The sequence below is a fragment of the Homo sapiens genome, chromosome 12 (genome assembly GCF_000001405.40).
Source record: "Homo sapiens chromosome 12, GRCh38.p14 Primary Assembly".
Taxonomy (NCBI): Eukaryota; Metazoa; Chordata; class Mammalia; order Primates; family Hominidae; genus Homo; species Homo sapiens.
The window spans coordinates 29,592,100-29,618,860 of NC_000012.12; the positions used below are offsets into that span (position 1 = coordinate 29,592,100).

General features: G+C 39.5%; 1 protein-coding gene across 10 annotated transcripts in view; it reads right to left on the reverse strand.

The window, feature by feature from the left end:
- TMTC1 (transmembrane O-mannosyltransferase targeting cadherins 1) overlaps window positions 1-26,761 on the reverse strand; it is a 283,947-nt gene that overhangs the window by 91,287 nt on the left and 165,899 nt on the right. For all 10 annotated transcript variants that reach the window (NM_175861.3, XM_047429634.1, XM_017020005.2 and 7 more), the window contains one exon: window positions 12,079-12,200. In NM_175861.3, coding sequence (NP_787057.2) covers window positions 12,079-12,200 — 122 coding nt within the window. The remainder of the gene's footprint in view (window positions 1-12,078; window positions 12,201-26,761) is intronic.

Below are 26,761 nucleotides of genomic sequence, written 5' to 3' on the forward strand. Positions count from 1 at the left end.
ATTTGTCCACAAGCTGTAACAGCCCACTGAGAGTATCTATAAATAGCATTATTAATACAAGACAGAGGCAATCTTACCATTACACTCTTTTAAAGAATTCCCAATTTTAGAGAATCTAAGTGAAACCTAGTCCTAATTAGCTTCATTCCAATCTGATTAGGGTCCCCATTTCTCCCCTCGTTTTTTATCTCAAACATTCAATGGTTGGAGAAATTTTCCAGAAGAATGAATATATTTGGAAGTGAGAGTTTATTCATATTCCAAGAAAAGAATCCCCAAAGACATTTCTGTGTATTTCCTTAGCCTCCCATGCTAGGTGCTGAGATCCTGGGGTAAGTATGAAAGGATTCTTTATATATATTTCTCCATGAGATAGATTTCTTCTGTTGTTTTCCAGCATGTCTACGGCACAATTGGGAGAAAAATGCCAATGCTTTCACCTTCTGAGAACTTCCCTAATTTTCTTTTACTCCTCTCAGCCTCATAGTCCACCTACCAGCTCCAAAATTTATGAAACATTTAGTATTAAATAAGGCAGGGCTCTGGCATCAGGAAAGCCTCGGTTTGCATGTCCACCCTGACACTGTTGTTTGATCCTGGACAAATTATTTAAGTTCTCTAGTTCTTAATTTATTTATACTGTGAGGGGGAATAACAATTGTTTGTAGTGCACCATGCCTGATACACACAAAACAATACATTATAACATTAAACATTATACTATAATGATATTACTGTTAGGCAATTATTTTTCTGCTAAATAGAGTAAGAAGCAGGAAATGTGTAAAGTTTGAATGCATTCCAGGTAGAAACAGACATGTCAAAACCAGGTTACCGTAAGTATAGTAACTTCCTAAGGCCCAGAGGACTCTATTAGGTACAGTGGAACACAAATGTTCTAGTGCAGACTTTATGTTTGGAGGTTCACAATGAGGAAAAGGGAACTGGGAATTCACTGGAAATGAAAGAGTCTGGAAATGGGTCAAGAGAGCTGGGCCCTTCTCTGGTTGAGCTGGGCTCTCCTCTGGCTGAGCTGGGCTCTTCTCTGCCATCCGTGAGTTCTGTGGGCACAGGACAATCTCTCATGGAGCCTTTGTGATTCATAGGACAAGGGCTCAATATTTCCTGCCAAACCCACATCAAAGAATTGTTGTGTGGAATAAATGAAATAATGTATGTAAACGTGTTCTGTAAACTAAAGGTGAAGTTAAAGGTACCAAATGCAGTGTTTTTGTGTTTATGTGTGCTTTCAGTATACTACTCTATCAGTTACACATTAATAAAATATGTGATTAGATCTGTAAATAACACCTCAAGAAAATTCAGTTTATCAAAGTCCAGATTGACCCAAAATATCTAATTTCATTATAAGTTTTTTAAGAGCAAATTTCCTTGTGCGCTATTATTTGCTTCAAAAAGGTTTGATTCAAACATCATTTTTATAGAACAGATATTGCAGAAGGTAAGATACACTGGTAGTATGTGAACTATTGTAGTCACGTGTTTATGTTAATGTTCATTCACACACCAGGGACACAAACAAGCGCTTAAGCAAATCCTCCCTTACAATCATTTCAAACCTCTCCCTACTCTTCAATGTACACTTTTGTGAAAATGAAGACAATGTAAAGTATAATCTCTTTGGTGAATTAATACATAATGAGGAAGCTTTTGCATTCAAACCTGATAAGAAATAAAAGTATTAACTGTTTGGAAGTTCAAGCAGGTTCTTTTTAGGATAGAATAACATTTTATTCATTTCTGAACCCTAAGCAACTAAAACATAGCAGGGGCTGCTTCATAAGCGTAGTTGAACCATTGTGGTTGAAGGTGTGAGAAACTGACATGGAAACAAAGGTGAACTTAAAAATCCATCAATCCAAGTTGACCTTGAAGATAATAAGACCCACGACTGTTTATCACCGGAACTGTCCATATTCAGGGCCTGGCTGTTTCCCCTTGATGGTGCCTTTACTCCAGGACTGGCTTCCTTCACCCCAGCCTGGTTCGCGTGGTCTCAATTATTAATAAATTTTCCATCAAGGCTTGGAAGACCTTTGATCAAAGCTGAGTGACTCTAAAACTGCCTCCAAAAAATTAGGAAAACCACCTTCTCTACTCTTCTACAGCACAGTCATCTTGAGAATCTGAGTTCTATTATTGCTTCTTCCACGAACTACTATATTTGAGAGTCCAGCAACTTCACTTTGGAAGCAAAGGCATACTGGGTAATCCACTATTTGTTGCTGTCCTCTCCTCTAGTCCCATGAATTAATACAGACCTGACTGCATAGGCATAGGCCTCATAATGTGTCCATCGTTCTTTAATTCCCTACAATTCCTTTTGTAACCAACATCTATCATGCTGGGTATTAAGAGAAAACACAGGCAAACAAAATGGTGGTCCCAATCCTAATGAAAACAAGACAAAGAAGGCTGCTAAAAGAGTAAGGAGGATTTGTTAAGATTACTAAAATCTGCATAAGGAGTCCCTGGTTTGAGATGTATTCTCTAAGAGAAAAGGAAAGAAAGAAATTCACCAATAACAACAAAGGAGCTTGATGAACAAGAGGCTGAAATGGCAACACTTAGGTCCACCCACATCCTCCCCGCAAAGTTACGGCCCACTTTGTAGGGCACTGGGTGTGTAGCATCTGCAATTGAGTCTCTCTCTTCCATCCACAGAGACACATTTCACAACCCCCTTCAATATGGCATTGCAGAATGCTAACTTGCTAAGTGCTAGGGTTGTTCACTTTTGAGCTGCTCACTTTTGAGCACACAAGGTTAGAAACGACATGAAGAGGTTTGAAGAACCAAAGGAGGAAGAAAGGGAAGGAAGAAAAAGCAGAGGCCTATATTTATGTTTCTTTGATTTCTTTTGACTTTGATTCACCCAATCTCATTTGCACGAGGTAGATTGAAATCATGACTTCCAATTAGTTACCTGGCATAGCTTACACTTCTCACATGTATTATTGTATTCAGTCTCATCTGAATCCAAATTATACTTTATATTAAATTTTACTTTCAAATCCTGATTTCCAAGACATCTGCTATTCACCATTTAGAGCTTAACAGACACAAACATTCATCTTTTATAACTAACAGAGTTTGGTAATATTAAGGGCAGAATTCCAGTCCAATAATTTACTGTTCAGACTTCTCTGCACTTTGTACCCTTGGCCAAGCACAACTGACTGAGCACAACACATTGGCCAGTGGATCTCCAGCCCACAGGCACCTTGACCTACTCTCTGCTCACTTCATTCTAGCCATTGCTCTGTTCTAATATTGTATTGGTCAGTGATCTACAATCTCTGCTTCTATTAAACATTTGGTAGAATCCCTCAGCAAAGTCCTTCTGCTTCCCTTCCTGGTCATGACCTTCCCATAGCACTGCCCCACAGTCCTTGATGATTGACCACCAGTCTGGTGCAGTCCCAGGTCCCTCCCTTCCTGGGCACTGCCCTCAAGAGCAGCTCTCTCTGGATGAGACTTAACTCCTAGCTCTCACATCCTCTTCTGCCTTCAGGACCCAAAGGGCTGGATGGAGCAGTTCAGGAGGGCACAGCGAGAGCAAAGGCACAGACACATTCAAGTTAAAATCTTTCTAATCTTATCCCATAGTATTCTGAAGTAGAACTTTAATCAACTTTTGAACCCCTTTGTAGGTTAATAAACCAGCAGAGAGTCTTTGACTGTTGGACACTAAGGCTTTGTCCCACTGAGGACTGAAGACGTGGAAAGGAATAGCATGAGAGGAAAACAGGAAAGCTTGACAGACTCAGCTTTCTTTTACACTGTGGTGAGTAACATGGAAGATACCATATTTAAGAACGTTAGAATCCTTCACTGAGATTTAAAAAGGACTTCTTAATTTACTTTTCTGTTTTATTGTTGTTGTTGTTCATTTTTTTTTTTTGAGACGGAGTCTCACTCTGTTGCCCAGGCTGGAGTGCAGTGGCATCATCTCAGCTCACTGCAACCTCCATCTCCTGGGTTCAAGCACTTCTCCTGCCCCAACCTCCCAAGTAGCTGCGATTACAGGCATGCGCCACCACGCCTGGATAATTTTTGTACTTTTAGTAGAGACAGGGTTTCACCATGTTGACCAGACTGGTCTTGAACTCCTGACCTCAAGTGGTCCACCCCCCTTGGCCTCCCAAAGTGCTGGGATTACAGGTGTGACCCACTGTGCCTGGCTGACGTCTTTACTTTTCGTTACCCAAACTTTGGATTTTGCCACAGATTCCCTTCCAATGGTATCATTAAGTTTTATTTCATTCTTTGTCTTCAGATCACATGGTGATCCCACGTCATTGTTCCCTAGTGTAAAAATGCACAGCCTTTCTCCCTCACCTTTCATCACTCCTGCTATGAAAAGAGAATCATGTTGTTTTAAGATGACCATAATAAAAATACATTAACAAATGGATTCATGGCTGAAACTAAAGAATAATTGAGTGGACTTGGGTTATTTAGCCAACCCATATGTCTACTTATACATAAGCACACACATCCTCACAAAGCTGGTGCATTGAGCTTTTAACTGAAAATGCACATCAACCTTTCTCCTAGGTTTTGAGTTGAGTGGCTCACTGACAAGCCTACGTTGCTTTTCCTGCCCCTCTACTGCATTGTACTATGAGAATTTCAAACAAAGAATGAAGCCATAAAACAAAAAGACTGAATATTTGGCTCTGCCTGGCTCCCAGGCTTTCTACTATTCTTGTGACTTGGCCTCAACAAAATCTAAAGTGACTTGTTATTTGTGGGTCAGCTTTGTCCCATCCTTACCAGTCATGGCTTTAGACAAAAGACTCAGCACCACTCACCCTCTGGGACAGTCTGACTGTGGTCTGAGGCCCCTGCTTAGATATTAGGCTTCAGCTCAGTTCCCAAGTCTCGCTTCATGACTTTCTGTGTACAGGCTAATATCTAACCTGTTTTCAGGGACTGCTGCCTCTCTTGGCAAGCCATCCGCAGTATCATCTCTTGAAGACAGCCATCTGACATTTCTTGTGTGGCCCTCTCAGTGTCCAGGGCCTCATTTCCTCCTGACGTTCCTAGTGGCTGCTTGTCCATGTGAACTTTTTTTTTCTTTTCTTTTCTTTTTCTTTTTCTTTCTTTCTTTTCTTTCTTTTTTTTTTTTTTTTGAGATAAGGTATCACTATATTGCTCAGGCTGGTCTTGAACTCTTGAGCTCAAGCAATTGTCCTGCCTCGGCCTCCCAAAATGCTAAGATGACAGGTGTGAGCCACCATGCCTGGCCAGTCCATGTGAACGTCTACGCATCACCTGTTCCTGCTGCTTATGAGGATTGCTCATAACCTCACAGTGGAGGCTCCACACCAAGGCTTCCTGACCACTTTTGTAGGGCCACTGTCGGGCCCTCCAGAGAGCCTGTCCCATGGCAGATGGACTTCCTCCCTTTCCTGCCTCACCTTGGGGCACACATCTTCCCTTCTCCACTGGCCCATCCTACTGAATCTGACCAGACACAGGCAGACACGCCATAAAATGTGAAAAAAAAAAAAAGCAGTGCATAAAGCTTAAAGTTTAAGAGGAAAAAAGCACCCTTTTTACAGAGCTATGCTGAATCACAAAACAGTTAAAATTTGGAGTGGCAAGGGACCTTAGAGATCATGTAACAGAGGGGTTATAAAAATGTTCTATTTCTAAAACCAGTAAAGCTTCCGCCCAAAAAATGGGGGTGAATGGGGGAGAAGGAACTGATGCAGGGTCATCTACCTCCTGCTGCTCTTATCATCATGACAAGAATACCAGAAATATAGGAAAGATAAAATTTCATAGTTTTATAAAACTGCATAGGTTTAGCTTTATGCAAAATTCACCACATTGTCTTTCTTTCTCCTTTCACCCCATAGTTTATCTCCAAACCAGTGAAAACCACCATTTGGGAACTACAGAGCAAGGCCAACATTCTGGTTTTACAAACAGAGAAACAGTAATCTGACCCTATTCAATGATTCTTTCAAGACGGCTAGCCAGTGGGCGACAGATAGGGCTGCGTGGAGTCCTAGTTCAGCTTTCTTCCTATTAGATTTGCTAAAGCAAATTTCTGTGATTTCCCTGTTGATATTAATATTTGGCAAAACGGATTCACTCTCTTCTAGCAACTCCAAAGAAGCATACAAATACACAGATGGATCATGAGAAGGGATCCCCAAAATCAGGTAACAGAGGCTGTGTAACTTCAGAGGTAATTTTTCTCCTTTTGCATTCTGAGAAATAAATCCTACAGAATTGTTTCAATAGCAATCGATGTTAGACTGAAAATTCCATTTTGAATTGAGAGGTATGATTTCAAGACAGCATTCTGATAAAGATCGCACTGAATCTATAGATCACTCTGGGCTTTTCAACAATATTGATTATTCCAATCCATGAACACAGGATATCTTTCCAATTTTTTCTTTCATTGAATTTTATTTCTCAAAAAAGTTCCGTTTCTCACTGAATTTTTTCATTGAATTTTATTTCTTCCATTTCTTTCATTGATGTTTTATAGCTTTCAGTGTAGAGATCTTTTACTTCCTTGGTTAAATTTATTCCCAAGTATTTTTTTGTAGCTATTGCAAATGGAATTGTTTTCTTTTTTAGACAGTTTGCTGTTAATGTGTAGAATAGCTACTGATTTTTGTAAGTTAATTTTGTATCCTGCAACGCTAATGAATTCATTTATTAGTTCTGTTTTTCAGTGGAGTTTTCAGAGTTTCCTACGTATATAAATTTAATGTTGTCTGCAAACAAGGACAATTTAACTTCTTCTTTTCTAATGTGAATGCCTTTTATTTCTTTCTCAGTCATTCTTGATCAGTTGTATCCCAAAATATTGTTTCTGCCCTCACTTATTCCCATTCATTCTTTTCCTCTCTCTACTCATTCAAGTCTTCCTAAAGTAGCACAGGAATTTGCTCTTTGGCACTGAAGTGAATAAATCATCCTTAATCTGGCATGTGAATGAATATTCAGTCACTTTCTGTAACATTATTTGAGAGCTACCATCAACTACTTCTGCTTCATCCATTCTAAGAAATTTTAGTTCATTGTAGCAATTTAATGTGGTTTTTATAAAACACAAAAAAGATAGCCATAAAATTATATGCTTCTGTTGGGAAAAAATAAAAGATCAAAATTTCTATAAAAGAATGATTTCAGCCCCAAACTCTCTTGCCTGTTCAAAAAGGAGATCTGCAAAACTGGCTTTGTCACCAGAAGAAAAGATTATTCCAATTTCTTTTGGTGGTAAACTCTGACCCTGAAGCAATGCAATGCTAAGCAGATAGCCTATTTCTGTCCCTTTTATCCACAGATTTCAAAGTGCAAATGAGAGGAAGGTGATATTTCAGACCTTTTCTGGGTTGAGATGCAGGAACAGAAGCCACAAGATTTAAGTGGCTAGTTCATTGTTAGGCATAAAGGCGGAGGATGAGAGAGCACTGTTGGTCTGACTCATTCTGCACTTTTCTTGTAAAATGGCCAAATCAGCCCCCTGGGATCGAAGGGATTCACCCGGGCTTCAGTGAGGCTGGACATGACTTCTGTGAAATTCATGTGTGAGCAACTAAAGCTAGGATTTGGCTTCATAATAGCTTGAAACAAATATTTGATGAGCAGAAAGTTCACCTTCTTTAGAAAGATTACCAACTGAGCCTTTGACTTCATTTTCCTATTGTTCACTAAAGTTTCTGAGACAACACAGAGCTTTTGCGTAAAAGTGATGATCTATATTTTCAGGATGTCATTGAGTACACCATATATATGTGTATATATACATGTGTATATATATGTGTATATATATGTGTATATATATGTGTGTGTATATATATGTGTATATATATATGTGTGTGTGTGTGTGTGTATATACATATATATATATATATTTTTTTTTTTTTTTCCCTCAAAAGAGCCTGGATACTAATGCTGTGGAAAATGGCTGTTTCTTGTCAAGGTCAGGATGGAAGGAGATTCATGAAGATATGATTCCTGGGTTAAAAAAAAAAAACATTTTGAACATGTTCTTACCATTCTCAACACCTATATGTAGGTTTATTAAATGGAACAGGCATTATCCAGTGCTCTGACACATCCACGGGATGCCTATAGCATCTGTAAAATCCTCCGTGGCTCTGGGGAAGATTTCAGAAACTCTTAGCTCAACTGTTTGCTATTCTCCATTAAGACAGGGACAGCTCATCACTGGTAGGTAAAATCTTTTCCTAGTCCCCCATTTTCAAAGAAAACTGTCAATATTTATAAAATGGCTTTGATGAAGTCATCAGAGACTCTCTAAAGCCACAACACAGAAGTTTCCTTACCCAGACTTTAATTTCCAACTCATCCTGGACCACCTCAATTGCACAATTCTATATACCAGTGGGAATCCAGGGCCAAAAGGAACATAGCTCCCTTGCAGTTTTAGTTACAATAATGACTGTGAAGAAAGATGGATTCACTAGAGGTACAGCATCCCATTCAAATATTCCTAAGATTCCTCCCGTGTCAGTTTCCCGAAATCCAAGTTAAACTCTCAAATGAGGTCAGGACTGTAAACCTGGCTGAGTGACCTGACCCTTTCGTCAGCCCCCAGACCACCTCTAAGGGTCAGGAAAGCACCTCCACCCTCTGCTCCGGTGGCTCTGGCATCTGCTGAGATGGCATCTCCGGAGGGGGAAAGTAGCCTGGCTGGGATGGTGATGGTACGTGTTAGTCCAGGATTCACTAAGCAGTAAAGAGAAACACTCAGAAAAAGATGACTTAGTGATAATGCTGCAAGGCATAGATGCAGGAACTTGGAAAGAAAAGGACAGTCATCTTTTTAATGAAAACTGGTTTACTGAAATTGATTTTGGGTGCCTCTTTACCGAATTTGGCAAATGAAGCAAAACCGAGGTTGGTTCCGGGAGGCAGGCACTTGCTGTTGGTAATATTGATGCTTTCTTTTCAGTACTTTTATTTTAACCCAAATCAGCCTATTCCTAGAGGAAAAAGGGCATTTTATTCCTAGGAAAAAATAAACTGGAGTCATAGAAAGGTTTATTTAAGATATGGCAGCATGGGAAAAGCCGGAGCTGGCATGATTCTGGGGGTTGGAGGATATACCTGCCCGGGCAAGATGAACCTCTTACAATAAGATACCCCACAAAGGGTTGGCGACAATACTATGAGCTTCCGTAACATTTACCTAAGGTCTCTTTCAGAAGAATCAAATTTAAATGTCTAGTTAAAAATTCCAGCCCTTCACTCTGCCTTTATTTCCTCACAAATTATTCTCCTGTATCTAAACTAGATGACACTTTGCTGAGCTTACAAATCTTTGTCACCCAGAACCCCCAGCTCCTGAAGAACTAGATATTAGGGCTCTTAGAAGCTTGATCACCACATGAGTTGAGCCGAAAGTCCATTACTATGTGTAGATTTTCTTCTTATTTTGTAATTGAGAAGAATACTAAGATGTTCCTATCAGGGAAGCAATATAGTCTGGAAGGTAAGAGATCTGTAGTAGACAGGGATGTGTTTTCCAGCTCTGCCACTCACCAGCTATACCGCTTGGGGCAAGTTAACCAACCTCTCAGAGCCCAGGTTTTATTTTTGTAAAATAGCAATAATGTTATCAGCTACCTCAGGGAACTGATATCACAATAAAAATACTTAGTATTTATTGACCATATATAATGCAAAACACTTTCTAAGTTTTATATATAATCATCTCTTTTTTTTTTTTTTTTTTAGACGGAGTCTTGCAGTCTCCCAGGCTGGAGTGCAGTGGCGCGATCTCAGCTCACTGCAAGTTCCGCCTCCCGGGTTCACACCATTCTCCTTCCTCAGCCTCCAGAGTAGCTAGGACTACAGGCGCCCGCCACCGTGCCTGGCTAATTTTTGTATTTTTAGTAAAGACGGGGTTTCACTGTGTTAGCGAGGATGGTTTCGATCTCCTGACCTCGTGATCTGCCCGCCTCGGCCTCCCAAAGTGCTGAGATTACAGGCTTGAGCCACCGCGCCTGGCATCTCATGTTTTTAAATTTATTTTTTCTGAGACAGGGTCTGGTTCTGTCACCCAGGCTGGAGTGCAGGGGCACGATCATGGTTCACTGCATCCTCAACCTTCCGGGCTCAAGAGATCCCCCACCTTAGTCTCCTGAGTAGCTGGGACCACAAGTGCATCCCACAACATCTGGCTAAGTTTTTGTTATTTTCTGTAGAGGCAGGGTCTCACCATGTTGCCCAGGCTGGCCTCAAACTCCTGGGTTCAAGTGATATACATGCATCAGCCTCCCAAAGTGCTGGGGCATGAGCCACTGCACCTGGCCCTATAACGGTTTCATTTAATGATCACAATATGTCATTGAGTTGGGTGCTATTACTATTTCCATTTTATGCAGATGAGAAAACAAGCTTAGAGGAATCACGATCATGTTTAAGCCAGAGTTTGAATGCAGGCCCTCTGACTTCAGGGGCAGGCTGTGACCCACTACTACAGTGTGAATTACTTGACATAAAGAATATAACATGCTTATAATAGTAAGTGAAATATAATAAAAATGCAATAAAATTTTGATGCAATTAATGACAAAATAGCATTAATGAATACAATAGTATTTATAAAATATTAGGACCTATTAAACGCTTAATATGAGAGATTCCATTTTGTTAATTGGCAGTTAACTCTTTGAGGGCAGACACTGAGATTCACTTACTTGTGTAGCACTAGATTTTAGTAGAGCATTTATGGCAGAGGGGCTCTATGAATATCTATCAAATGAAGAATGATTCCATTGGAATCATCAGTACTACAAAGAAAAGCTAAGATATATTCAACTGGTCTAAGCAAAAACATATTTAGAACACAGATTGATGCCACTTTTTGGTCTTCTATACTACAGGTGTATTCCCTATTATTGGCAAGCCTTCACAAGACTCTTACCTTAAACCACGTAGAATATAAAGAATTGTGTTGTATTTCTGTCCTTATTGAATAGTATTTATCAAGCACTCATCTCCTTCCCAAATTGGGCTGAAGACACAGTAAACAATTAAGGGCTGCTTTCCCCTTAACCAAGTCAAAACCACATGCTGCAAAGTGTTAAGAAAGCTATTAGGTATTTGGTTTGAAGGAATCAAAGATTATGAAATTCACTTCTAATTATAAGTGTTTTAAAATTTCTAGTACAATATCATAAATAAAAAACACTCATTTCCTCCTAACATTTTGGTTTATGATACTGCCTTTTAGGAAAGTTCATACTTATAGAAGAAGAATGAACTTTCCTAAAAGGCAGTATCATAGTCCAAAGTGTTAATTTTAGCGAGTTTACTAAAATCTCTATTGTAAAAATGAGAAAATCTGGGGGCAAAAAAAGCTTTGTGTCTTGTTCAAGGTCAGTCAACCAATAAATGGCAGAACCAAGACTTGGTTTCCTGATTCAGTGACATTTTCAAGCATCTGAAAAGAAAAGTGGCCTTGGAACAATGACATTGGAATAAGACAAGAGAACAGACAAGCTTCAGCACAGTTCAAACATTCAGAGCTAAGTGGCATTATGTAATCACACACATTTGAATGTCTTTTCTAGTTTTTAAATCATTGTTCTTTTCCCAAGGACAAATTTTCTTGAGATTGCTTCCATTTTTAAATTGAAGAAAAAAGAACGAACAAAAGAAGTTAATTACAATCATGCTACTGAACATAATACTTTTATGCAAGTCAAAAAACATTTCTAGAAAAGTATTATAATTCTGTTTAATAACACCCATTTAGACATAGATGTAGTGATAAATGATTACTACTAAAATCCTGAATATACTCAAGTTAATATTTCACATTTAAACTATAAAGTTTGCAACTGAAGGTAAACCACTGTAAACAAGAGTACATGTGTGGACATTTGCTCTCATCCAACCTTCTGTGTGGCTGTTTTTAAAGCTGAAATAATAATATCCCTTGTCCCATGAGGATCTAATGGTCTACACACAGAAGACTGTCTCTCTGGAACTATCAATGTTGGTGACAGAGGGCAGGTCTTGTAGGAGGAAGTCACGTGCAATAGTTACCTAGGCATGTAAAGGACTCTCTCCGCCACCACAAAACCCACCCTGAAGAAGAGGTTGCTGGCTGGAATGAACGGGAACACCAGGAACAACAAGCCGACTAAAACCTCCTTGTGCTCCAGTCTCTGAAACACACAATAGTGAAGGAAACATTAACTTCTGTTGAATTCCACTTCAGGCAGCATTTAACCATCTCCTTCACTTTCAGGTTCTCAATGAAGAAATGAATAAATTAGACCAATATAAACCTTTTGACCGGCGTGCTGAATTTAACAGAGAAAGCTGACGGGCTAAAATGGCTGGCATGTCAAAACATACACATGTACCCTGACACACATTTGCCACCCAGAAACATGGATATTGGCCCACTACAGTCAGTGACCGCTACCTGTTGTTTAGGGCTGGATTTACAGCAACCCTGCTTCTTGGTTCTGGCTCCGTTCAGAATCCCTGTCTTTCCAGACACCCCATTCTCAAAGAGCAAAGCAACTGGCTAAAATCAAATGCAGTAAGGCACTGCAGAGAATTTAATTATATCTTCCCAAAATATAATGTATTTTCTTTAAAAAATTCACCAGGAGAAGCAAAGTTTAACATCAAGAAAATCAAATACTAATGATAAAATTTGGGATGCCAATGGAGAGAGAATCATTTGAATTGAAGCATACCTTCACACCTCTCAAATTAGGCTGGCAAGCGAGTATTTACTCCATTGATTTTTTGAATAAAAAATCGTTATAATAATTCATTAAATTGACAAAGAACCTCCTCTGTTATTATATATCTTTATTTGCAAAGATTTTTATGTCACTTATAATTAACAGAAAAAAACTTCTGTTTATTACTGATAATATGTTGCAATGACATTGTAAAAACTCATTTGTATTTCCATGTGTATTTATGGTATAGACACATTTGAAGAGAGTTATATTTAAAACAAAACTTAATGTACTGGAGAATATGTATTTTTTAAGTTTAAGAAAAAAACCAAATAGACTGTCCATATTTCAACTTTTAATGTTTCCTTTAAACATTTTAAAGTCTATTATTTTTAATAATTGGAAAAGAATAAGTAAAAGAATTTCATAAATGTAAATAAAACTCCCTAATAAAAGCTACAAATACTTTAACTATACAAAGTATAACGATTTTAAACATCTTGGGATACTTGTCACCTTGATGTTATTAAAATATTTGTTTTACGGACTAAAATATATAGGGTAATACAATTTCTGAGAGTGATTCCATATGATTTGGACAGTTGCCCTTAAATAATTAATGGATCTATAAGTAATGATCTCATTTTGACCTAAAGGAACCAGAATTTAAAGGAAGAAAAAAATAGATTATGTAACAAGCCTTCAACTCATGATCTACCAAAACTGACCAAAAAGGGTAAAAAAAAAAAAAAAAAAAAAGAACAAATTCATTTTATTTAAAAGCTGCAAGCTATCTTTTTAATTTAGACTATACTTTGGGTTTAGAAAGTACATTTCAATTTGAGAATTTAAACTGTATAGTTTATTTATTTGTTTAAATTTAAATTTTTATTTTCAATTTGGGGTACATGCGCAGGTTTACTACAAGGGTATATTGTGTGATGCTGAGGCTTGGGCTTCTATTGTTTCTGCCACCCAGAGAGTGAAAATCGTACCCAATAGCAAGTTTTTCAGCCCTTGCCTCCCTTTCCCCTCCCTCCTTTCAGAGTCTCCAATGTCTATTGTTCCCGTCTTTACGTCTGTGTGTACCCAAGGTTTAGCTCCCACTTATAAGTGAGAATATGTGGTATTTGGTTTTCTGTTTCTGTGTTAATTCGCTCAGGATAATGGCCTTTAACAGCCTCCATGTTGCAGCAAAAGACATGATTTTGTTCTTTCTTATGGCTGCTTAGTATTTCATGGTGTATATGTACTACAATTTCCTTATCCAATCCACTGTTGACGAGTATCTAGGCTGATTCCATGTCTTTGCTATTGTGAAAAGTGCTGTGATAAACACATAAGTGCAGGCATCTTTTTGGTAGAATGATTTTCCTTTGGGCATACACCCAGTAGTGGGATTGCTGGGTTGAATGGTAGTTCTATTTTTTAATTCAATGAAAAATCTCCAAACTTATTTCTGCAGTGGCTGAACTAATTTGCATTCCCACCAACACTATATAAGCATTACCTTCAAGTACATAATTTTAAAAAATCTTCACAAGAATCCTGTATATCAAGAGCAAGTATTTCTTCTTACAATTGAAAACAGACCCCAAATAAAGAGTGTCTTGTCAAATGTTCCTCATTCACTCTGAGCTTATTATTGGGTAGTAAGTTGCTATTCCCTTTTTATAGGTGCACTTTTATAGAGATAGTTGATTACTTCTTTTCATGCTTCGAAAGCTAAAATACTTTTTTACAAAATTATTCACGTCTTCCCAAAGAAGTTTCTAAAGAGAATGTAATACACCCTAGTAATTCATCCTAAGAATTAAGAATTAAGAGTGCAGGTATAAACAGAACAATGATCAGGCTGTTATCCATGTCCCTAGATACTGTTTTACCCAATGAGCCACCCCACGGCCCCTCATCAAGGTTATTGGGAAAGAGCCCTCACTGGGAATCTGAAAGAGGCTTCTCTCTATATCCCCAGCATCACACGTTCTTACCCTTCCAACGCACCTTCCTCACTACGGTGGGTGTTCACTTTCTTTTTTTTTTGAGACTGAATCTGGCTCTGTCACCCAGGCTGGACCAGGTTGGGAGGTGCCTTCATCTCAGTGGTGGGTGTCAGTTGGGAGCACAGCCAACCTTCCTGCCCCCCCCCCTCACTCACGGACACCCGTAGTGAGCAGGATGCCCATGGCACTGATTGCTGTTGGGGATGCGGAGATGGGGGGAGAGTCAAGGAGCGATCAGCCTCCCCCAGAAATCTGATGTGCACATGGAAAAGCCACAGGGCTGCGTGTTCATCTGTTCCTCCACCAGTTTCTTCAGACACCAGCACAGTCTTTATTTCCTTCATGACATCACTCTAGTTGTAATTACGTGTGTATCTGGGTGTTTACTGCCTTTATTGTCTGTCTGCCTCACTAGAATGTGAGCTCCATGAGCACAGAGTGCTCCTGACTTGTGTTCACTGGTGAACGACTTTTGCTTAGCTCAGTGCCCGGTGTGAATATTTGCTGAATAAATCAATTAAGTGAATAAATGTATCAGGCAGGATACAGAGGAAAAAACTGGGTAGAAGAAGGGGAGCAGGCAGAGAGGGCTTTTTGGTGGAGGTGACATCTGGGCTTGAAATATCAATAAACGTTTACAAGGAAGACAAATTTGGGAATGAGGGGTGGTCACAGCTAGGCACATTCTTGGGAGAAGATATGGAATGTACAAAGCAGGCAATAAGACTAGTCATGTCAGCAAGTGGATAATGAGCGTTTTGCACACTTTGCTATGGAACTGACCTTCACCTAATGGCAGTGACTAAAGGGTCCCTTATGCATAGAAAGAAACGTGAGTGAGTGTTCAGGGTCCACATCCAGACTCAGGTAGTGACCCTGCCACCGATACACCATTGGTACTTGGACAGGCAATATTATCCCTTCCATCCTCAAGGTGCCTCAACTATAAAAGGAGGCAAGTATGCCTGAGCGTTGAATGTAGTTGGGTCATTACAAAGATTTCTTGAAAACCTGAAGTCCATTTTTTGGGCGTTGTGAGCTATGAGCTTACACACAGCCCGCCACCCTACATTGCTAATCTTGTGGGGTGTTTTCCTTTGTTTTTAAAACAGGAAATGGAAGACAGTGGCACAGTGCCCAAACTCAATAAAGTTTCATTGTTTTATTTCATTTTGAGAAAATTAATACTCATGAAAAAATTTCTATTTTCAAATTAAATGGATGACAATACGCTTTGTCTTTCCTCATCCCCATTCAGTCAAGAGAGATTAAAAATATTCAAGAACAACATACTTATTTGAAAAACATATCAATCTGCCAAGCAGAGACTTGTAAAGTTGGGAAAAAAAGTGCATCATGGACATGGCTAAATTTTCTAGAATGAGACAGACTAGGAGGGAACCCGATTCTGTATCCTGTGGATCACTGATGTGACAAAATTGGCTAAATAATTTATAGCTTCTTTTAGCCTAGTAGATTCAATAATACCCTAACAAAATATGAGGAGAAAAAAGAGGAAATTCATGGTATTTTCCAAAGTACACATGGTCATTCATTTTTAGGACAAAGAACGAATGGAAATTCACTTATTCCCAAAGACAGCAGGGAGAGAAGAGATATGAGAACTAAGACAGCTAATAACACAGCCATTATAATACATGACATTTGATTAACTGCAACTTCAGACAAAATAATTTACTTCTCTGAGCTTTAATTTGGTGATCAACTAGACAAAAGAAAAGGAATTGATACCTATATACCTGTTATATCTGTAGGAAAAATGTGTGATAGATTCGCTATTATAGGTGTTAGGTTTGATTTTTCTTTTCTGGTTGGGAAGAAGAGAGAAAAGCATCCCCCTGAGCTGCAAAGAGGTGAAAATCCTGTCTTAACACCCAGACGGGGGTGCTGAGAGGGTCGCTCAGTCACCATCGGCACAAATACACATCAGGCCAAGCAGCTAAGGGAAGAGCAGGGCTTTTCTCAGAGCCGTAAATTGCCTCAGAGGAAATCCAGCTCCTGAAACCGTCCAGCCTAGTAGCTTCTGGTTTATCCCCTCCTCTTCATACTTCCAGTTCATCTTTCAAAGTGCAATTCACAGGCAAAGACACGCACACACACACTTTGATACACATGTATGCACCTGGCCAGCAGTGTGTGGGTGTTAATAAAAACAGGGCTCCTTCCTGCCCAATTCAACACCGATGATACACACCGCAGGCTGTTCCCTTCCAGAGAGGTGGAAAATAGGCTTATTATAGTAATTATTGTCATCATTACTATTTTTTTTCTCACCTCTAAACAAGTTTCAGAGAAATGGTACATTGCATTTAGGGTACAAGTATGTTCACATGATTCTAAGTATTGCATAGTTATATTTCAATCCTAAGGATTTATTTGGCAGCCCTAGGATCTAGCTGTCTGCCTCCAATTTATCAATCCACAGGGAAGCTGATGACAGTAAAGCTCCCCTCTTCAGCCCCGGGGTTAAGGCATTTGCCAGGCTGACAGCTAGTATGGCTGAACACTTCTTAGGCTCTCCTTTTTATATCTGTTTTTGGGTCTACTTCCTCTGTTAGACTACGGATTCCTTGATGGTAGTCACCAATGAATGTTTAAATTTATCTAGATTCCTGGCACAACACCCCTACTGCTATCTACAGGAAATGTTAACTGTCAGCCTCCACTTGAGCAAATCCAGGTCTCAGGTTTATTTAAAATATTGTGAACTTTGAATCCACAAAAGCCCTTATGTCTACTGAGGCTATCAAAGTTGAAGATAATACAGACCGCATCTGATGGATGGGGAACTGACTTCATCTTCAACGTTCTAACTCAGAAGCCAAGAAGAACGCTTTCAAGACCAGCATGGCCCATGCAAAGCTAGAGGAACAGAAAGTGCCTGACTGTTTTGGGCAACTGGATTCTGCCTGAGCTCTGCACAAATGTGCCTTTGTCTCACTCTCTCTGGGAAGCTACAGTGAGCCCTAAGCGGCCCTGTTGCCTACCTGGCCTTCACTGCTGTGTCTGCTTTCATTTAAGTTTTAACAGCCTCTCCCACCTCCAACTCTGGCAGTAGCCGGTCTCGCCTATCTACAGGCACAGCTCCTGTTGGATTTCTCTTCATGGCAACAGCTCTCAGCAGGTGCTGGGTGGCTGTTCCTCCCCTCTGCCCCTTCAAGCCATCTGGTAGGTGTCACTATTGCCCGTGGCTTCTCTAATACTACCCACATCACCGGAAATGGTCCTTTCATAAACTCTCTTCAATCACCTCACTGGTCGCACCATGTGTTTCCTGCCAGGAATCTGATGGATTGACCAGCGAGTGAAAACACGGGGACAGGGCAGAAATGTGGACCTCAAAAAAGGATCGGAGCTCGGGCTGGTGTGAGCTACTAGGAGCTGGCTCCAGCACATCCCTGGCTTCGTCCTGTACATCACAGTCTTTCCATCATGTTTCAGCCCTCGAGTGAAGCACCCTGTTTAAGGCCACCGAGGCTATAAGAAATTTAAAATGTTATATTGAAATAATAAAGACCAACATCAATCTGAGAGAGCTCTGTTATCTGGCAAATGGGGTTGAAACCAATTTCTCAATAGCTGGAGAAGAGGAAGTTTTGAACGTTTACTGCTATGACAATGATTAAATGCAATAGACCACTTCTTATGACTCAAACAAGATCTAGAATCTTAGCTCCATGACAGTAATGTGGGGACAAAGGGAATCCTGCGGCAGTCTTATGGGTAAAAAGAGTAAGAAAAGTTAAAGCCGATTCTCAGAGCCTGTTACAGCTGCCACACACCTTGGTGAAAGGGACCCTGATTCCGGCCCCAGTGGTCACAAGGTCACACTGCGAGATGTTTAGGGACAGTCCTCTTGTGACATGAGCACAACCCACATCTCAAATGTAGACACGGAAAGGTGCCATTTACATTTTTTTCCTCTTGTCTGAAAATAATGTGAACACTGAGTTGGGACAGAAAATGGCTCAGGTTCAGGATCTCAAAAGCAGAGCTGCCAACCCACACTCTCTAGTTGGCTCAGGCTGGTGATATCATTTCCTCACTTTCATGAGCTCTAAAATTTACTCATAAATGCACAGGGAGTAAATTTTTAAAAGGGGAAATGAATGAAGAAATTATACCCCCTCAGAGACAAAAGTAGACTTGTATACTTGATGTCTTCCCTAAGCCAATTTAAACATTGCTTTTTCCCATGCCAAACTTTCTTTGCCAAGAGGCACTGCCAGATGTACTAATGAACAGAGCACCGAAGGCCGATTAAAATCAGAGGATTTATAAACTGACATTTTAGATTTCTGGTCTTTGGTTCTGAACTTCTTTTTTTTTTTTTTTTTGCACAGAGCCTTTTGTTTGATTTGTTTTTAATCAACAGTCTGATCCTTCTTGCAAACACCAGTTCCTGAGATTAAAACGTCTTCTCTCACAACAGCAATTACCTTTCAGAATTAAGTGAGGAGGAATCATGAAGCTCCCGGATTGCTTTACTCTAATTGAGAATAAACTAATTTCTAACTTTACTTGGAAATGTAAGTTATATTCTGCATAAGTGTGTATTAAAATGTTTAAAAAATAAAAGCAAAAACCTTTTAGAAGGCACTTTATTGAAAAATATCAGTCCAGTGCAAAAATTTCTATTCACTTTAAGCAAGCACTAGTGAGGAGATAAGGTAATTAAGTAAATTAGAAAAATGTTGGTGAATAAATATTTTCCTGATTAGAATGCAACTATTACAGGAATTTATGATGACATAGAAAAAGTTAGAAATGAACTTTCTTTATTTTTGTGGTTCTGAACAAAAATGTAAAAGGCATTAGAAAGCTATGTATTGAATTTAAAAAAGTATGATGAAGACTAAAGAGATGGGGGAGAGCTGTAAGCGAAGACATCTTTGAAAGTCTGGTTTAACTTACAAATTATTATATGTGTGTTTCACACAGATGGGGCAGGGGGCAGGCCGCAGTAAAAGCAACCCAGTAAGTTGCAAGTGGTAGAGGATGGAGGAAAAACAAATATCTTTCAAGCACATACCATATGCCAGACACTTGACTTAAATGGGCCCACTGAAGCCTCATGATAATATTACAAAGTAGGTATAATTATCTCCATTTTTGTAAGTGAGGAAATTGAGGGCCAGAGAGCATGAGAGACTTCTCTTAGTTGATCCAATCAGTAAGAAGCAAGGGCTTCAAACTGAGGTCTGAGTCACTCTAAAGCCTGTCCTCTTCCCACAGTCCACGTGGCTTTGGTATTCGAAGTTAATGCCAAGTGTGGGGAGGAATTTCAGCCTTCTCTACCATCTGACTTCATAGCAGAAACACACTGACGGCAGATATGTCCCAGAAACTGGAGGTGGCCAAATGAGACACTGCTGAGGACCTCTAACAGAGGGTGCTATTGGTTTACTTTGCCAGATAAATGCAAGCACAAGATTGCATTCTACACTCTACAGGGATGCAACAGGATCTATGGCACACAACACATATTTCTTGTCAAGTACTCTGAATGCATGTGTGAAAGGTTTGAAATGGTTCATCCATTCATCTTTTTAAAAAAAAATTTTTTTTTGAGACAGGGTCTTGCTCTTGCTCTGTCGCCCAGGCTGGAGTGCAGTGGTGCAATCTTGGCTCACTGCAACCTCCACCTCCTGGGTTCAAGCAATTTTCCCATCTCAGCCACCTGAGTTGGGATTACAGACATGTGCCATCATGCCTGACTAATTTTTGTATTTTTTTTAGTAGAGACAAGTTTCCACCATGTTGGCCAAGCTGGTCTTGAACTCCTGAACTCAAGTGATCTGCCTGCCTCAGCCTCCCAAAGTGCTGGGATTACAGGCATGAGCCACTGTACCTGGCCTCATCCACTCATCTTGACACCCATCCTCTGAAAGAATGGACGTATACATATCCTCTGATCACAGTGGGATAAAACATAATTTATTTGACTGATCTTAGTTACTGACTTGTAAGTCGATATTATATCTGAGAGAGCTTGAGGGGTGGATAATAATCACTTTTGACATATGAAATCAAATACTGTAATGAAACTGCCCTTCTTAGTAAGGAAAGTGAAGGAGCATCCACATTCTAGTGACCACAGGGGTTCAATGAATAAATTAAGTGGACAGGTAAGTGGGTCAAAGGCCTTCTAAATTTAAATCTACACACATTCTTAACTTGTTATTGTTCTAAGCTTCTTTCTATAATATTCCACTGTTTATGATGAATTTTTCAGGAATGTAACACTGTGATCATCACTGAATCTTGTAACATATCTGTCACAGTATTTACACAGGCAGATGGATTTGGAAAATCAGAAGAGTGATGCTGCTCTAAGAGATATGTGTCCATGTGCATTGAGATCTAACCTAGTGGAGTGACTCAGGAGAAAGGGGGGCTTGAGTGAGGTACACCTAGGACCCCCACCTGACACCCATGACTTCAGTGGGAGGCTGTGGCCTGAGGTGCACTAGATGGGTGCCTGTGAGAATCAAGAGAGAACATCTGGGCAAAAGCTCAGCCATGTGCTGGGAACCTGTCTGAGGAGGGGGTGGAGAGAGACAGCCAGCTGCATAGGTGTCAGGGCTTTGAAGCATCATGCTTACCATATCCAGCTTTGATTGGCAAAATGGAGATGACTGTGGCACAAGTAATGCCACAGAATCCTAGGTCAAGAACTCTAACTTAATAAGGGGACCTAGTGTGGAAGAGAGATAGGAGCGCTTAATCATTTTATTCCCTCTCTAAGGATTCAATTAAGAACCAAGATGGATTTAAACATGCAATAAAGCCAAGAATGAATCTAGCTTTGATGAAATGGAAGAAAAAAGGAAAAGGATAAATCAGATACATTTTCATAAACCATTTTGTTCCTACGAAAATAGGAAATATCCATGCCTGGGAGAAGCGGTCTTCTACCTATGACTATAGCTCAAATGTTTCTGTTAGGAAGACATCCCTCGGGCAAAGTCTTCCAAAGCAGGATGATCACTTCTTTTCTGTTAAGAAAGTGACAAAATGTTTTACTTTTTCACAAAGCAAGTCACACTCACCAAAATGCATGATTCATCTATCCACTTGGAATTGTCATACAGAAGACAGTCCCTTTGTTCTATAATCTAAAATTAATAAGGAGAAAGAACCATAAAAAAGTTCACACAGTTTCACTCTCCTAGTGAAGATCTAAATGTTTTAGAGTAGCACTTCCAAAAGATAATCATCCATCCTACTTTATCAAACTACGGAGATATGTTTGGCTTACTTTAAGGATACTACACATGAATATAACAAGAAGTGTAGTAACTCTTAAGAGGTAAAAGAGGAAAAAAAGGTGAGATTTGCTTCCATGATTGAACTTCTAGAGGAATTACTATTCATGGTAGATTTGATTCCTGTTATCTGTCAATGTACTCACCCAAAATCAAAATATCTTTTATAATCAAAACATGTTGCATCTCATTGGACAAGACCCACATCCCTACTTCTGAAACATATGGTCACAAAATCCTGATGGATCATTTTGTTTCCACAAAGATGGTTAAAAGGCTCTTTACACAAATAATTGACATGATGGAATAACGCTCTTCCTTCACCTTGAACTGTGTTTTCAAACAGCCTAACTGCCATGGCTTAAAAGGGTGAATTTAATGGACTAATGAAATGTAGCAAAGGATGGAAACAAAGGTCCCTATGTTTGGAAATGGTATCAAATGCTTGTAATTTTCTGAGTTCAGACATGCACACACCTATCTTCATCATTTCAGAGCATGGGAGATGCATGCATAAAAAGACTGATTTTCACCAAAGCACAACAGCTCAAATATCTCAAGTGTATATAAAAGACAAGAAGGTTTATATGATCTATATGAGGCTTGACATACAGATAAAAGTAAGAACTTAATCCAATAGTCACTAGTTGGGAGTTATATTTTTCTTGGAAAAGTCTTACAAGGGAGTAGAAAATAAAATGTTTTAGACAAAGAAACAGAGAACAAACTTGTTTCTTCAACAAGCCTTGGCAATAAATTACTCCCCAAGTGAAGACATTGTCATTGTGAGGACCAAAATCTGTAACAGGCAGAAAAATAGGGTTCACTGGCCGAAGTCACCCAAATCAGAAGGAACTGTGGTGGACTGGAATGGAGAGAATTTTCCAGCCAATGTCAGGGAAGCTGCCATTCCTAAATGTTCTTTCCAATTAATCACTTTTTCATACCAAATGCCAGAGTCCTGGGTTATAAGCGAACAGGGCCAATTTGGCCATTTAAAGTTGCCAGGTTCTTTTGTAAATACTGGTGGCCTGTGGCAATTAAAACCAGATGGGATACAAAAATGAGAGCAAGTCTGAGAAGAAGTTCTGTTAAAAGTGCAGCCATTTTTTAGCAGTCACACACTGGCTTCTCAGGAAGCTCCAGGAAGTCTTTTCTCTGTCCTCCAGCTCTCCTGTAAGAACCTTCCATGAAAGGTTCCCGCTGAGGTGCATGTAACAATGTCTTGAGGCAGCCACATCTCACTTTCTACTTAGAGAAGGCCAAGAAAACTCCCTCGAGTGCCTTCTTTTAAATCATGTTAAGCAGGTGAAGATACAAATTTTTAACTTATTCCAGTTAAAAGAAAAAAATACCTGTAGAGAGATATATATGGTGCTACTTTGGTCTTGCTTTGGAAACTGCCACTTATTAATAATATACCAATGAATGAGCTCTTCTAGGTGAAACTTGCCTCCCCAAACTGTAACATTTCATGAATGGCCTTGCAGGGTCCCTCATCCATCAGGACTCCCAGCAGTCACAGACACTGTTGTATCAAACATCTATATACACATTTCTAATTACAGCCTCCATAGAATGAAAAATATAATTGGTTTCAAGGTCTTAGGTTACTGTTGCCTTGTTGAAAACTATAAAAGGAATGGTTTCAAAGGAATCCTTTTTCAGGTGGTATTGCTAAAAAGGTAATAATATGAAAATGTTTTTGTTGATGCTGTGGTGGCGGTTGTTTTTGGAGGTACAAAGAAGGCAAGCAAGGAAATGTTTAAACATTGCCCAAAAATGAACTCTCAAGGTCCAGTGACCCAGGCACCTTTGTATATCAAAGTTGATACTTCCCAAAGCACGTTGCAAGAACATTTATCCACAAGAAGTCCCTAAAAAGGGGTTCCAAATTCAAATAAGTTTGAGGAATGCCATTCATGATACGCCCCTTTTGGAAACTCACAAGGCTTAGAGCAACATAAAGGCTTTGTGAAGCCCCCCAGTAAAGAAATATGTTTAACTTTTTGAAACCTAGTGCTTGTGAAATGCACAACTGTAGAATCTTTATTTAGAGTAACCTTACTTAATGGTCTGTATGATGCTGTGACATATTTTGAGAAATGCTGGTACAAACTGCTCTAGCAGAATGAAATTAAGAAAAGTTCTCACTTCAGGAGTTTCTATAACCTACTCCCCAAAAATCAACGCGCTCTCTGGCAAACACAATTTCACTGATCTCAACTATAGCCATCACGCTACAGTTGAAATACATTTTCTGGGGCCAGAGGCGGTGGCTCACACCTGTAATCCCAGCACTTTGGGAGGCCGAAGCAGGTGGATCACCTGAGGTCAAGAGTTCAAGGCCTGACCAACATGGTGAAACTCCGTCTCTACTAAAAATACAAAAATTAGCCAGGCATGGTGGTGGACGCCTGTAATCCCAGCTACTCAGGAGGCTGAGGCAGGAGAATCGCTTGAATCCGGGAGGCGGAGGTTGCAGTGAGCTGAGATCATGTCATTTGCACTCCAGCCTGGGCAACAAGAGCAAAACTTGGTCTCAAAAAAAAAAAAAAAAAAAAACATTTTCTGCTGTTCAGCCCTTTGTAGAGATGAAGAATAACTGATGGCCATTTTCTACACTAAAAATCACTATACATTTAGAGAACTTTGTTAAGCCATCTATCTGCATAGTGGTGGCTCCAGCTGAGATAAATCCTAAGCACAGGAAGGCTTCTTGGCATCGTTAAACCATATCAGTGTTTATAGAGATAACATTCTCATGGGTGGGGTGGATGCAATGGAAATGGAGAAAACCAAGCTCTTCAAGGCACCCTGGGTCGTCTTATAACTTTATTCTCTATACTCTTAATATTGTTTGAACCAATGAGTGGTCAATTAAATCTCTAATGTTTTATCTTACTGTTTACCACTATGTTTTTCCTCTCCAAATGCACTGTCCTATACCTACATATTCCCTACATATTTCTTCTGCTTGTTTCAAAAAACTTTGTCAGTTTTTAAGATCATTTTCCATTTCCATCACACCACTGGGTATGTGACGGCTCACTCCAGTTAGTCATGCAATTAGTCATGCCTCTGCCTACAAGAGACACAAAGTACAAGGAGCAGGCAGATGACGAAGGGAACCATCAGACACCTCCACCCCAGTTTACGTGCTTTGTCAAAGCACTCTTGAAAAATTTCCCATCCTCATCAATGGTTCTCTTGGAAAAACCTGGTCATTGATTATTCATTCGTTCAACAGATATGTTTCATTGCCATCTAAAAAGATAGTCTCTTTGGGCACTGTACTTACTTAGAAGCAAACACTTAAAGAATTTAGCAATCAATCACTCCCATCTCTTTTGTATTTTCCAGGTACTAGTCTAGGCTCTTGGGAAAACATCAGTAAGCAAAACAGACAACAGAGAGAGAGAGAGAGAGAGAGAGAGAGAGAGATAAAAACCCTGCCTTTCCAGAGAGGAAAAGAGAGAAAGAGACCACGAGAAAGTGAGTCAGTGAGGCTGGTAAGGGGTATCTGTAATACACAGATTAAGGTGGACAAGAAATGGAGAGCAATTCTAAACACAATGGTAGGCTGCACTGAGAAGGTGGCAATCAAGCAAGACTTGGAGGAGATGAACAATACTTATTTCATAGTAGAAAATGAGTTCAGGAAGTAGCAAGGGAGATAATGGAGTGGGGGTTGGATGGGACCAGCACATGTAGAACCTGTCAGGCCATTATAAAGGTGATGACTATTGTTGTCAGAGAAATAAGGAGCCACCAGAAGATTATAAATACAAGAAGGGCATGATCTGACTTACATTTTAAAGTAATCACCCTGACCACTGTGTTGAGGAATAGACTGGACCTTGGCGCAAGGGTAGAAGCAGGGAGATCGGTTAGAAGGCTATGGCAATAATCCAAATGAGAGATGACGGTGGCTTGGACAGGGTAAAAGCAGTGAAGGTGGTGAGAAGCTGTCAGTGTCTAGATGCATTTTGAAAATATGGTTGACAGAATTCTCTTGATGGATGAGATATGAAATTTGAGACAGAGAAAGAGAAAAAAGGAAATCCCCCAAATTTTGGCTCAGGCAACTAGCAGAATGCACTGAGATGAAAAATGCTATTGAGGCAACACACTGAATGGGTAAAGTCAAAAGTTAAATTTCAGAATGTTGAATTTGATACTACAGTGTGGAGATGCATGTATATAGATGACACTTTCCTTCTTGAACAACCCTAGGTCCTACATATATTATTTCACTTATTTTTATTATATTACAGGTGAAAAATAAATTTTTTAATACTCACCAATGTTTCTGCTATGTAATAATGTAGACATATAAACATTAAAGCTCATATTACAAACTTGTTTTCTTTCTAATATTCTATGCTTCCTCCTTAGGCAATGTACATGTAAAAATAAGGAATTTTAGATTTTTTTTTTTTTGATGGAGGGATGATTCTTCCCAGGGTTGTATTTATCACCCTTGCACTCCCTTTATAGGCTCCTTGGGCACTGCACTTACAGCTAATCACCTAAAGAATCTGACAGTCAATCACTACAGTCTCCTCTGTGTTTCCAGTAGGCTTTTTGTCTAGAGGGACTTGTTTTAGCTGCTTTTATCTCTGGGACTCCTAATTACATATATCAGGGTTTTCTCAGAACAAGATGGAAAATGGTGTGCTCCTTTAAATAGAAATTTCAGGTTCTAGATGGAAATGGAAAGGACAGAACGGTT